The following is a 12,805-nucleotide window of genomic DNA, read 5'->3' as shown; positions in this document are numbered from 1 at the left end:
TTAGATTTCTAATGGCTGTGAGATATTCTGTTATACTGTGAATATATGCCACTCTCTACCTGACAGTCTCTGACAGCTGGGGAGTTGAGTTGTTTCTTATTTCTGATTTTTCTCCCTTATACAATAATGCAGTTTGAATACTTTTTAAAATAATCCTATACATTCATTCCTAATTGAGAGGAATTCCTAGATGTGGAACCGCTGTGCTTGTCATAAAATCTGATAGCATGTATCAGCTCGGGCCAAGTTTCATTCTCACCTGCAATACACAGAAGCGTTCATTTCTCAGCACAATCATAAATTCAGCATATTATTTTTTCCTCTTTGCCAAATTGATGAAAGGAGACAGATAGCTAAGCATTGTTTTGTTTTACTTAGAAGTACATATAGATGTATATTTATATACATGTATAATGTATATAAAATACAATATATGTATATTTATGTTATATAACATATATGCATATTTATGTTACATATGTGTATGTGATATACACATACATATATCTGTGTATAGATATGCATATATACACAGTATCTATATATATTTTTTAGCCATTTTAATTTCTACTTTGGTGAGTGTTCTATTTGTGTCTTTTGCACATTTTATTGATATTTATTTTTTCCTTATGTATGTCCCTTCATGTATTAAGGATATTAACTAGTTGCTGTATTACAAATATTTCCCATTTGTTACTTGGTTTTTCTTTTCTTTTTAATTTTGCATTGTTTTTCATTTTTATATAATTAATGCATTATTTTCCCTTTTGATTGGTTCTTTTACTATTGCACTTGAAAAGGCTTTCTCCACCTTGAAGCTCAGATAAATCCTACCTGTGTTTCCACAGTGCTTTGAATTATTTCATATTTTACATTCATTCTTCATCTGGAATTTACTTTGATGCACATGATATCTTCAGCTTTGTTCTCTTTTCTTTCAAAGATCCTGGAAGTTTTAACTTCGCGCCCCGCCTGTTCATCCTCAGCAGCTCCTCTGGGGATTTTGCAGCCACAGAGTTTGTGTACCCTGCCCGAGCCCCCTCTGTGGTCAGTTCCATGCCCTTCCTGCAGGAAGATCTGTACAGCGCGCCCCAGCCAGGTAAGGCCTGCAGGGGGCAGCTATGCTGAGCAGTAGAAGGCACATCTTCCAGAAAGCCTTTTGATTTTACGTTGGTATTTATTAAGCAGCTTCTGTTTGCCAAGTACATTCCCAGAGCACCCAGAACATGTGCTTACACTCTTTTCATCCTCACCCCTACACCAAAAGGAAGGAGAGTGAAATCAGCCACACTTTATAGCATAAGGAACGAGACTCAAGTCACTTAACCCACCCAAAGACGTCAGCTAAGAACAGGTTGAGCACCACAGCGGCAGGCCTGGCGTCTCCGCTCTTTTCCCAGCCTTCCTCTCAGTCTTGTTGCTGCATGGTCACCCGTCGACTGCCATTGCTCCAGCCATTATGTTTGCATTCAAGATAGAAAGAGAAAGAAAGGGGAAGGAAAAAAGCCCACCTAATAGCCACTCTCTCTCTTTAATCAGATAAAGCACGTGTTTTCCCAGAAGCCCCCAGCAGACTTCTGCTTACATCCCATTGGCCGGAGCCTGTCACATGGCCAGCCCCAGCTGCAAGGGAGCCTGGGGAAGCAAATGGCAGAGGAGAAGGATGTTGGGGTATTGGCTAAGTTAGCCAGGGAACAGGGTCTGCCATACCAAGTCTCCACAGCAGAGCCAAGACTCCAGCCCAGGTCTTCTGATCCCAAGGTCAGGGCTCTGTGCCCTCATTCTGGTTGGGAAAGTAACAAGAGACTGGGCTTGACAACCCCTCCCACCCACCCTCCAATGAAGCCAAGGTCAGCTGCCTCTCAGTTTGTGTTTGTTGCTTCTCACATTACAAGAGCCTGGAGCTGCAGCCAGGGACCTCATCTTGCACCGGGATCTCAGGGCAGCACTGAAAGTTTGCCCAGTGCACATGTCATGCTTGGAAAATCAGCCACCAGTAAGAGAGGGTGTGCCCACGCCCTTCATCCTGGGGCTCAGGGCGGGTTATCAACCTCCACTGGGCTTTTAAAGTGTGGTTTTCACAGAATCCTGAAATGCATGTCAGGAAAGGACTTACAGTGAGCCGACTAGCAAGAGTGAGAGGCATTTTGCCACCTGGAGTAAGAGTCAGACTGACAATTTGAGGAGGAGAAAAAGGTAGGAGGAAAAGGCAGTAGAACAGTTTTGATTTTTATTTCCTTTTATTTTATTTTTTAGAGACAGGGTCTTACTCTGTCATCCAGGCTGGAGTGCAGTGGCGCAGTCATGGCTCACTGCAGCCTCTAACTCTTGGGCTCAAGCGATCCTCTCTCCTTAGCTTCCTGAGTAGTGGAGACTACATGCATGCAGCACCATGCCTCGCTAATTTTTTTTTTCTTTTTGTAGAGATAGGGTCTCATCATGTGGCCCAGGCTGGTCTTCAACCTCCGGGCTCAAGCAGTCCTTCCTCCTCAGCCTCCCAAAGCACTGGGATTACAGGCATGAGCCACCACTCCCGGTGGCAGTTTTGCTTTTTAAGGCCCATTTCTCTGTAAGAGAGCCATGAGCTCACCTCACTGCTAAGCAATCGCGTGCAGGGCAGGAACGCCACTGACCTGTCTGCAGTGAGATGTGCGCTCCAGTGTTGATTGTGCTCTTTGGAGATATGCGGTGCTAACAGCCCCTTGAGTGGCACATGCATTATCCCTTCCACTCTTAGCACAGCCCTGCCAGTATCCAGAAGGGCCAGGGCCTTGAGCTGGGGCAAAGGGAGGAGGACCTGGAGGACGAGGAATGAAAAAGACCAACTCCTTGACACCACTTCTCTCTGCCTACAGGCTTCTCCCCGTTGAACTGTCAAAGGGCTGGGGTATCCTGGGTTTCTCTGTTTGCCCCTTTGCCCCTGGTTTGATGGCCAAGGGGGTTTCCCCCTGTGACACTGCAGTCAAGAGGGACAACATCCACTAGGTTGGGGGAGGAGTGAGCTAGAAGTGTCCGTGAAGGAGCTCCTGATGGTCTGGCCCTGTCCCTGCCCTCACAGCACTTTTCCTTGTTGACAATCACCACGAGGTGTACCTCTGGCAAGGCTGGTGGCCCATCGAGAACAAGATCACTGGTTCCGCCCGCATCCGCTGGGCCTCCGACCGGAAGAGTGCGATGGAGACTGTGCTCCAGTACTGCAAAGGTGAGGCTCCCTCTAACATGCCTGCAGCACGGAACAGATGGGGAAGCCCCTCAGGCATGCGCAGCCAGGAGACCCCCTTCCCCTTCTGTGCATGTCAGCCAGCATCCATCCATAAAGCCTGGCAGGTGGTGATGAAACCAATTTTTTCCCCTTTAACTTTTTGAGATGTATTAAGTTTTAGATTAGCGCATTCTCAGCTGCCAGCATGAAGAAGAACTAGTTTTTCTCTCTGATATTATGAGGCTAACTTGTTACCCTCAAGGATAAAGGCTGTATTGTGGAATGCCCCAGGCAGATTAAAACCCCGCTGTACTCGGGGTTGATCATGCTGAGAGACAAGTTGGCCTCTGCCCTGTACATTATCTGCAAGCACTACCACGCTGTTGGAGAATGGAGGTCTCCCCCAAACAGTGAACGGCCATTGCCAACCTTTTTATTATTCATTATTATTTTTAGTATTATATCCAAAGAGAAATACCCATAGTAAGTTCATGGTTCTTTACTATACACATGAAATTTCTAGTCTTTTATATAAAATGAAAATGCCAGTAATTAATCTTATTTAATTTTTATGGTTTCATTGACACAACTAGTTTAATGTCACTGAGTATGTGCAATGGATTCTCTTCCTGAAAAACTCTTTAGCAATAAATAACATATGAAACCTTCCACTCAATGTTATAGTGAATGTGGATGTATAAGATGCTGTCGTTCGCCGTCAGTCATTATGGGAGTTAATCCTGTGCTAGGAAATGAGACGGATGACTCTACAGGTGAATTCAGGAGGAAGAAAATGCTCCACCCAGAAGCTGCAGACAGAGCCTCTCTCTCCCTTCCAGGAATACACAGCGTTTTGTTAGGTTCAAGAAGTATAGACTCAGGTTGATTATAGGTCACTATGGTAGTCACAGGCATGAAACTAACAAACATCTTATATAAACATTATCCATGTGTTGTTATGAACTACTGGTAACTTGCATTTTAAGCATGAAGTCATGAGTTCTGGCAAAGAAGAAAAGATTTCAAGGGAAATCAGAGAAAGACAGGGTCTCCCTGGGGTCTACTGACATTGCAATCTGTGTAACTACAGGAAAAAATCTCAAGAAACCAGCCCCCAAGTCTTACCTTATCCACGCTGGTCTGGAGCCCCTGACATTCACCAATATGTTTCCCAGCTGGGAGCACAGAGAGGACATCGCTGAGATCACAGAGATGGTGAGCACGCTTTCCTGCCCTATGAAGGTGGCTCCTGCGCCTTTTGGATTGTGGGTTAACTTTACTTTGGGGAGAGCATCCAATTGCACTTTCAGAGTGGGAAAATATTTTTCCTTTTGCAACATCTTAACAAACCTACATAGAATTTGCTTAGGAAGAAGAGAAGTCTAATGGAAAATCAATTAACTATTTTAGTAATTTTCTACACGATACCCAAATTTTAAAAACTTAAAAGCAAAGGTGAGTTGAATCATGTTGAGGACTATATATGTACATAAAAGCTGCGAACTCTTCATTCTGTTTGCTAAGAACCTGTTGCTTGGCATTGCTTGTCTCTCAGTGTCCATGTGACGCACAACCAAACCCTCATGTTTCAGATGTTAACCTTGTGTAGAGGAGACACAAACGAAATCTGATGAATTAGTATGTTCAGAAAACTGAATGAATGGAGGTGCTGCGACTCCCTTATGATAAGGGATCACTCAACATCTCATTAATATTGTCTTTTATGAGACCACCTGGTATTTCTGCATGAGGCATTTATCATAACTTCTATCCACCAAAATATATTATAATCTAGAATGTTTTCTTTTCCAACCACACAGGAAAGAATTTTATTATAGCTATGTTGAATTTCTTATATATGAGCTATTAACATTGCTAGGAATAGCAAATCCAAGGATTTGTTTTGATTTGGTGAGAGATAGGTTTTTTACCATTTTGATTTTTTTTTACCATGTGAGAGCTGCTTTGCTTGGGGAAACGACCCAAGTGTATTTTATAGGAAATTCGAGTAATTTTAAACAAACAGAATCTACTTCTGCTTAGCAATGGAGAGGGCCTGTTGGGTAGTACAGACATCACTGCTCACCCTAACCTGTCTCCCTGGAGCCAAATGGACTTGATGTACACAGGGAAGGGGCTGACTTCAGCTTGGTGTCTGCCGCAGCCGGAACGAGATGTTTCTGTTCACTGCAACTGTGGTTTCGTGAAACCAGAAGGCTCTAGGGATTACGAGCTCTATGGCTGCTGCATGCAGTCTAAGTTCAGGAGTTACCAAATTGCCAGGGGTTCAGTCCAGGGCTTATTGCTCACTACACAGAAGAAAGCCAATCACTGAGACAAGCATAGCCAAGGAAGAAAGTTTATTTGGGTGCTACAGCCAAGGGGAACAGGACATAAGTCTCAAATCTGTGTCTCTGGCCTACTAAAATTAGGGATTTTTATAGCAGGGAAGAAATGTAACCATGTGTGGGAAACAGGAATTAGGGAGGGGTGAGGAAGAGGAGCTGGTCAACAGGAAGCGGGGGGTTGGTTAGGCATCATGGTGGGTAAGGGGTCTGGTAAGCTTCAGGTTTTGTTTTTGTTTTTTGAGACAGGGTCTTGCTCTGTTGCCCAGGCTGGAGTGCAGTGGTGTAATCACAGCTCACTGCAGCCTCCAGCTCCAGGCTCAGACAATCCTCCCACATCAGCCTCCCAGGTAGCTGGGACTACAAGCACACACCATAATGCCTGGCTAATTTGTTTTGTATTTTCAATGAGGTTTTGCCATGTCTCTCAGTCTGGTCTTGAACTCCTGAGCTCAAGCCATCTGCCCACCTCAGCCTCTCAAAGTGCTGGGATTACAAGCATGAGCCACTGCTGGCTTTTTGATACTATTGGAGATGCCTGATGGTTGGTTTCCTGAGAAAGGAACTCAGATAAGACAAATATAACTTTCTCGAATTTCAAGACTAGGAGAGTTAATTTCGACGTTTATTCCAAAGAAATCATAAACATCAGTTCTGTGGCACAGTTGAGCCACTTTCAGAAGGATATAACTCACCATCCTCCCTGTGTATTCACTATAGATCTTGGGGGTTAGCAGCGGGGCCATTTACTGTTGTGCAGGCCTGTGGGATTCCAGCCGGAGAAGAGTCAGGCTTCCCACACCAGCAAGTTATACAAATAATTAACATTCAGCAAGTGCCCACTCTGCACTAGGCACATCTCCAAGCACTTTACACTGATTTTCTCATTTATCACAACAGTCCATCAAGATATCTTATTATTATTCCCATTTTACTGGTGTGGGAGCAGAGACACAAAAACACGAAGTCACTTGGCCAAAGTGACTTTCAGTGAGTGGAGGAGTCAGTACTCAGACGCAGGCAAGATCATCCAAAATTCGCCTCTTCTTTTTTTAGAGAAAGGATCTTGCTTTGTCACCCAGGCTGCAGTGTGGTGACTCAATCATGGCTCACACAAACCTTGAACCCCTGGGCTCAAACGACCCTACCACCTCAGCCACCCCAAGTAGGTAGGACTACAGGTGCACACTTCCATGCCTAGCCTATTTTTGTATTCTTTATAGAGACAGGGTCTCATCATATTGCCCAAGCTGGTCTCCAACTCCTGGATTCAAGGACTCTTCCCACCTCAGCCTCCTACAGTGTTGAGATTACAGGCACAAGTCACTGCACCCAGCCCAAAACCTGCCTCTTGACCACCAGTCTGTTCCATGTATTTCTAATATGAGCAACAGCTCTTAGTCATGCATTCCCACCATCCACCCACCCAAAAGGAGAGCAGCCAATCTGGGGTCCCAAGTTTAATGGAGGAAGAGAATTTACCCAGAATAGTTTGTTCATATTCACACAGTGGTTTTAAAAACAAAAAAATTGATTCTGCTCCAGAATATTCTAGGTGCATTTTCTGACCTTCTTTTTCTATTGCAGATTAAGAAATGGGGCCAGGGGAGGGAAGGGGGGTGTGATTTCTTTTCAGGTTATTTTTTAATATTTATTTTTAAACAAATTCCATTATTTGGAGGCTTCTGGTGTTTAGACTTCAAATCTACTAATCTTAGTCCATAATTCACTCATGGGACAGTCCCTAAACATTTTTCCAGAGACAGTTCTGAGACAGGGTTTGTTTAAAACTCTGTGACAAGGTGAGAAAAGATCTATAAGTCAGAGAAACAAGACTCCATCATCTCTACAAAAAAATTTTTTAAATTATTAGGTGCGCGTGGTGGCACATGCCAATAGTGCCAGCTACTCAGGAGGCTTGAGGTGGGAGGACTGCTTGAGTCCAGGAGTTTAAGGCTGCAGAGAGCTATGATTGAGCCACTGCCCTCCAGCCTGGGTTACAGTGAGACACTGTCTCTAAAAAATAACAAAATTTGGGGTCAAGTGTGGTGGTTCACACCTGTAATCCCAGCAGGAGGATCGCTTGAGGCCAGAAGTTTGAGACCAGCCTAAGCAGTATAGCAAGACCCAGTCTCTACAAAAAAAAAAAAAAAAATGGAAAAGGAAAAATAAATTAGCCAGGCCTGGTGATGCATACTCATAGTCCCAGTTACTCAGGAGGCTGAGGCAGGAGGATCACTTGAGCCCAGGAGCTGGAGGCTGCAGTGAGCTATGATTGCACCACTGCACTCCAGCCTGAGTAGCAGAGTGAGACCTTGTCTCAAAAAATACCATTTTTTAATTTAAAATTTAAAAATTTTAAAAATTAAAAGTCCAGACAACTGCAGGGCTTTGGGCGATCCCTTTTCTTTCAGAGCCATTTCCTCCTCAGTGATATGGAACTATGCATCCTCAGGCAGTATGCAGGTGGCACAGGGCTGTGTGTCTGTAAGCACTTAATAAAACAAGTTCAAATGTAGGACACGAGCTCTCCTCTCTGCCCCCTCCTCTTCTCTAGGACACGGAAGTTTCCAATCAGATCACCCTCGTGGAAGACGTCTTAGCCAAGCTCTGTAAAACCATTTACCCGCTGGCCGACCTCCTGGCCAGGCCACTCCCGGAGGGGGTCGATCCTCTGAAGCTTGAGATCTATCTCACCGACGAAGACTTCGAGGTAAGCGGTTCTTCCGGTGGGGTGGGGATGGGAGTAAAACAACACACGCACGCCCGGCTCCTTTCACTGAGCCGCGGGGCGCTTCTCCCAATGTTTCCAGTTTGCACTAGACATGACGAGGGATGAATACAACGCCCTGCCCGCCTGGAAGCAGGTGAACCTGAAGAAAGCAAAAGGCCTGTTCTGAGTGGGGAGACGCCAGAGGAGCCTCACGGTCACGTCCAACAACACCACTGCACCAGGGAAATGGATATATATTTTTGGACTGGTGTTTTTCACAAAGTATTTTTCAATCAGAGTTTTCAGAACCTGACATTGTTAAAGATACTGCTTGTCCCGGAGTTGTGTATTTTGTAAATGTTCAAGGGAACTGTTTGGAAACTTCTTTCCACCATTCAGGAGGTTATCAGAATTAATAAAAGTATCTGTTATGTGCACTTAAGCCGCAGCTGCTATAGATAGCACTGCCTTCTTGTTCCAGCTAGGCAATGCCTTTTTTTTTTTTTTTTGAAGCAGTTCTCTTTATAAAGTGTTATTTTGATAGTTTGTGGATTCTAAAATATATATATATTTATATAAACACCATATAAGTCAAATATGTATTTAACAAAGCAATATGTATTCATTCACTTTCAAGATTTGTTTTGGTGTCAAAATAACATGAAAAGGTAGATGGAGTTGCTTCTGTTGAATTAGCTCTGCCACCAATATGTATCTTCATACACGTTTGGAAATGTTTCCTGCAGCATTAGGTATGACTTGTTCTGAGTACTGCTTCCGGTGCTAAAATGAACAAAGAATTTGTACTTAATGGCATGGACTCTGGAGAATCTATGCGAATCAACCTTTCTACCTTAATATCTCCCCAAAAATGTATAGTGCCTTGTTTTTATGTACAGTTTATATACAGAAAAGTTTGCTCTGCATTTTTGATGATGGTTTGGAACATTATCTACAATTTTACTCTCAAATAGTCAAAATAAAAACATCTCAATTTCTAATACCGGTTGTAAACAGTACACATGTCATTTTGTGATATAGGACTCCCAAATAAAAGTATCAGAATAAACACAACAATTAACTGGTTCACATTGAATTCCAAGCATGTTCCTTTCTGGAATTTTTTTTTTTTTTGGTAAATATTAACATAGCACCAAATTTTGTAATTAAGTATAAATGACTATACATTTGAATTTAGTTTAGGGCAAGATTTTATACAAGGTCATAAGATTAAATACAGAGTTATTTGCCCCATAAAATTAGTACTCAGTACTATAATGAAGACATACTTTTGCAAATCATCATTCAGCAGAAGTTCTTTATCCCACAGCTATATCTATCTACAATTTCAATTTTAGGATCTCAATGCCCTTTAAAAAATTGTATGGGCCAGGCGAGGTGGCCCACACCTGTAATCCCGGCACTCTGGGAGGCTGAGGCAGGCGGATCACCTGAGACCAGGAGTTCAACAGCAGCCTGGCCAACATGTTGAAACCCAGTCTCTACTAAAAATACAAAAATTAGGCATGGTGGCACATGCCTGTAATCCCAGCTACTCAAGAGGCTGAAGAAGGAGAATCATTTGAAACTGGGAGGCGGAGGTTGCAGTGAGCCAAGATCGCGCCATTGCACTACAGCCTGGGTGACAAGAGTGGGACTCCATTTCAAAAAAAAAAAAATTATATGGATAAGACATCTAGAAAACTTAAAAAATGAGTTAGAAAACTCCTCACAAGCTCCCATGTTCTTAAATCCATGGTTTTGTGAACATATTCTACAGACCTACTCTGAATTGTCATAGCCCTTCCCCACTCCCTGTTAGTCTAATTTAACACATCCAGTCACAGCACATTTGCCTGAAACTTCAGGACTTACAGGCCCCATCCTGGGACCGCACCAGGGTAGAAACCTATAACCTGCTCCTGGTCTCACCATTTTATGATTTTTATGATATTGGGTCATCACTGAACTTTTCTACCTTGATTTCCTTTAAAAGGAGACACTCCTAGCTATCCTGCCTGCATCACAAGATTCCGAGCAAGGAACTAGTGGAAGCTCTTTGAAAATCGCCAAGTGCTAGATACCTGCCAGTATTAAGATTATTGTGATGGTAGTTAAAATGGGAAAGCAGGGGGGTTAAGTTAGGGAGTGTTGTCATGCACCTAGAAATGATGGATTAAATCAAAGCAAGGAGACGAAAAAGAAGAGAGGTTCAAAGTCCATGTTCCATAGATAACACGCAAGAGGTATGGAGAAAGGTTCCTAGAGTCACTAGGGCAACCTGAGGGTCAGAAAGAGGCAGGATTGCAACCTCTGCAGCAGGTTCCAGATATCACCTGAATCTTTAGATACCCAGGAAGGAGCTTGAGTTGCTACAGGAACTACCAGTGGAGAGCCGCTGTAATGAATAAATAAGACAGATGTCCTCATTAATATTCATTAACACCAGATTTTCCCAAAGTCCTTTAAAACTGTGTCTATCCACTTGTATTAAACATTGGCAACCAGGTGCGGTGGCTCATGCCTGTAATCCCAGCACTTTGGGAGGCCAAGGCAGGTGGATCACTTGAGGTCAGGAGTTTGAGACCAGCCTGACCAACATGGCAAAACCCTGTCTCTACTAAAAATACAAAAATTAGCTGGGTGTGGTGGCGCACACCTGTAATCCCAGCTACTTGGGAGGCTGAGGCATGAGAATCGCTTGAGCCTGGGAGGCCGATGTTGCAGTGAGCCGAGATTGCACCACTACACTCCAGCCTGGGCAATACAGTGAGACTCTGTCTCAAAAAAAACACAAAAAAACAAAAACCACTGTCCCCCGACAAAACGTGCTGTCTGTCTGCTTCTCGCCACTTCTTGGTGAATAAGACACCCCAGCTTGGAGAGCCAGTATACTTTTTGCCTCTTTTCCTCTAAATTGTTTCCTGCATCTCTTTCCTGCTTATAGAACCAGATCCTATTTTCCATGGTTTTTTCTGATCCTTTTCCTTCCATAACTGCAAACTTTGACCTTTGTACACTGGGAAGGGACCTAGCTGAAACACTTGAATTGCTAAACCTTAAAGTCTCAGCCCAGGAATTGACACTGGTGCTTGGGGCTTTTCTCCACAGTCATCCAAACTCAAACCCCCGCTCTCACTAAATGCATCAGGGGCAGGGAAGTGCGATGTCCTGAATTTGCTGTCCTTGAACTAAGAGACTCAAGAGAGGGGTGGGTGTTTGGATTGAGATCGATATCAGAGGTGCCGCGGGGCAGATGGGATGTTGAGCGTGTTCTGTAGCTTTGGATGAACTGTGCGAATATGAGCCACTTCTAGAGTGGGACAATCCTGCCTCTTTGTTCCCAAATCCGAGGAGGGGAAAGGCTGCTGTGAGCCCACTTCTTTCTCTCCTACTTTACATTTCCTGCCCTGCTATTAGAATTCCCATTTTGGTAAAAGGAAACGTATTCCAGAAACAGTTCCAGAATTCATTTTGGTCCTTTGGTTTTGTTTTTTTTATTATAAAATTAGCCGTGTGTGTCCACTCAGAAACCTGGACACAGATGTTCATAGTGGCATTATTCATAATAGCCCAGACCTGTAAACAATCCACATGACCGTCAACTGAGAAACAGAAAAACAAAATGCAGGACCTCCATGCGATGGCGTCCTCCCCGACAGCAAAGGGACAGATATTCCTGCGTATACATGACGTACACCTGATACTCACTACAACATGCATACGCCTCAAAAGCATTAAGTGAAAGAAGCCAGATGCAAAAGGCCACATATTGTTTGATTCTTTTTATATGAAACTTCCCATAAAGGCAAATCTGTGCAAACAGCAAGATCAACAGTAGCTGAGGTTGGAGATGGGAGTGGTGGTTAACTGCAAATGGCATGAATGATCTTTTTGGAGTAATGGAAATGTCTCAAAACTGGATTGTGGTGATGATTGCACAACTCTATAAAGGTATTAAAGATTTTTGAGGCCAGACACCATGGCTCACTCTTGGAATCCCAACACTTTAGAAGGCGAGGCTGGAGGATCGTTGGGCCTAGGTGTTCAAGACCAGCATAGGCAACATAGTGAGATCCCATTTGTACAAAAATTTTTAAATCAGCCAGGTGTGTTGGTGCGTGCTTGTAGTCCCAGCCACTTGGGAGGCTGAGGAGGGAGGATCCCTTGAGCCCAGGAGTTCGAGTCTGCAGTGAGTTGTGATCATACTACTGCACTCCAACCTGGTGACAAAGTGAGACCTTGTCTCTAAAAAATAAAAAAATAATAATTAAAGAAATTATTGTTCACTTACATGAGCGTATTTTATGGCATATATTATTATATACATACATACACAAACACATTTTATATATATATGTAAAATATCACAAAAAAGCAGTTTAAAAAATAGTAACACCTGATCTACGTAAAAAATGCAATCACTACAAAGATATATAATCTAGGAATCAAAAATCATAAATAATACCACTAACCAAATACAAGTACTTTAATAATCTGATTTATATTCTTCTGGATTTTTCTTTACATCTACTAGCATAGATG

At 43.2% G+C, this 12,805-nt stretch overlaps 1 protein-coding gene and 1 long non-coding RNA gene across 12 annotated transcripts in view; one reads left to right on the top strand and one right to left on the bottom strand.

The window, feature by feature from the left end:
- SVIL (supervillin) overlaps window positions 1-9,356 on the top strand; it is a 279,599-nt gene extending 270,243 nt beyond the window's left edge. For 2 of the 4 annotated variants that reach the window (NM_001323599.2, NM_021738.3), the window contains 5 exons: window positions 944-1,099; window positions 3,059-3,202; window positions 4,293-4,417; window positions 8,105-8,260; window positions 8,361-9,356. In NM_001323599.2, the coding sequence (NP_001310528.1) occupies window positions 944-1,099; window positions 3,059-3,202; window positions 4,293-4,417; window positions 8,105-8,260; window positions 8,361-8,447 (668 nt within the window). In that variant the 3' untranslated portion in view covers window positions 8,448-9,356. The remainder of the gene's footprint in view (window positions 1-943; window positions 1,100-3,058; window positions 3,203-4,292; window positions 4,418-8,104; window positions 8,261-8,360) is intronic. The other 2 variants (NM_001323600.1, NM_003174.3) reach the window with 1 other exon arrangement.
- The window catches only part of SVIL-AS1 (SVIL antisense RNA 1), a 78,323-nt gene that overhangs the window by 21,163 nt on the left and 44,355 nt on the right, over window positions 1-12,805 (bottom strand). The window contains exon 3 of one of the 8 annotated variants that reach the window (NR_110920.1): window positions 8,174-8,420. The exons of the other annotated variants lie outside the window; for them this stretch is intronic. This is a non-coding gene — a long non-coding RNA (SVIL antisense RNA 1). The remainder of the gene's footprint in view (window positions 1-8,173; window positions 8,421-12,805) is intronic. 8 annotated transcript variants of the gene reach the window in all.

The sequence above is a fragment of the Homo sapiens genome, chromosome 10 (assembly GCF_000001405.40).
Source record: "Homo sapiens chromosome 10, GRCh38.p14 Primary Assembly".
Taxonomy (NCBI): Eukaryota; Metazoa; Chordata; class Mammalia; order Primates; family Hominidae; genus Homo; species Homo sapiens.
Note: the sequence above shows the minus strand (reverse complement) of the source record. Positions and strands in the feature narration are given on the sequence as shown.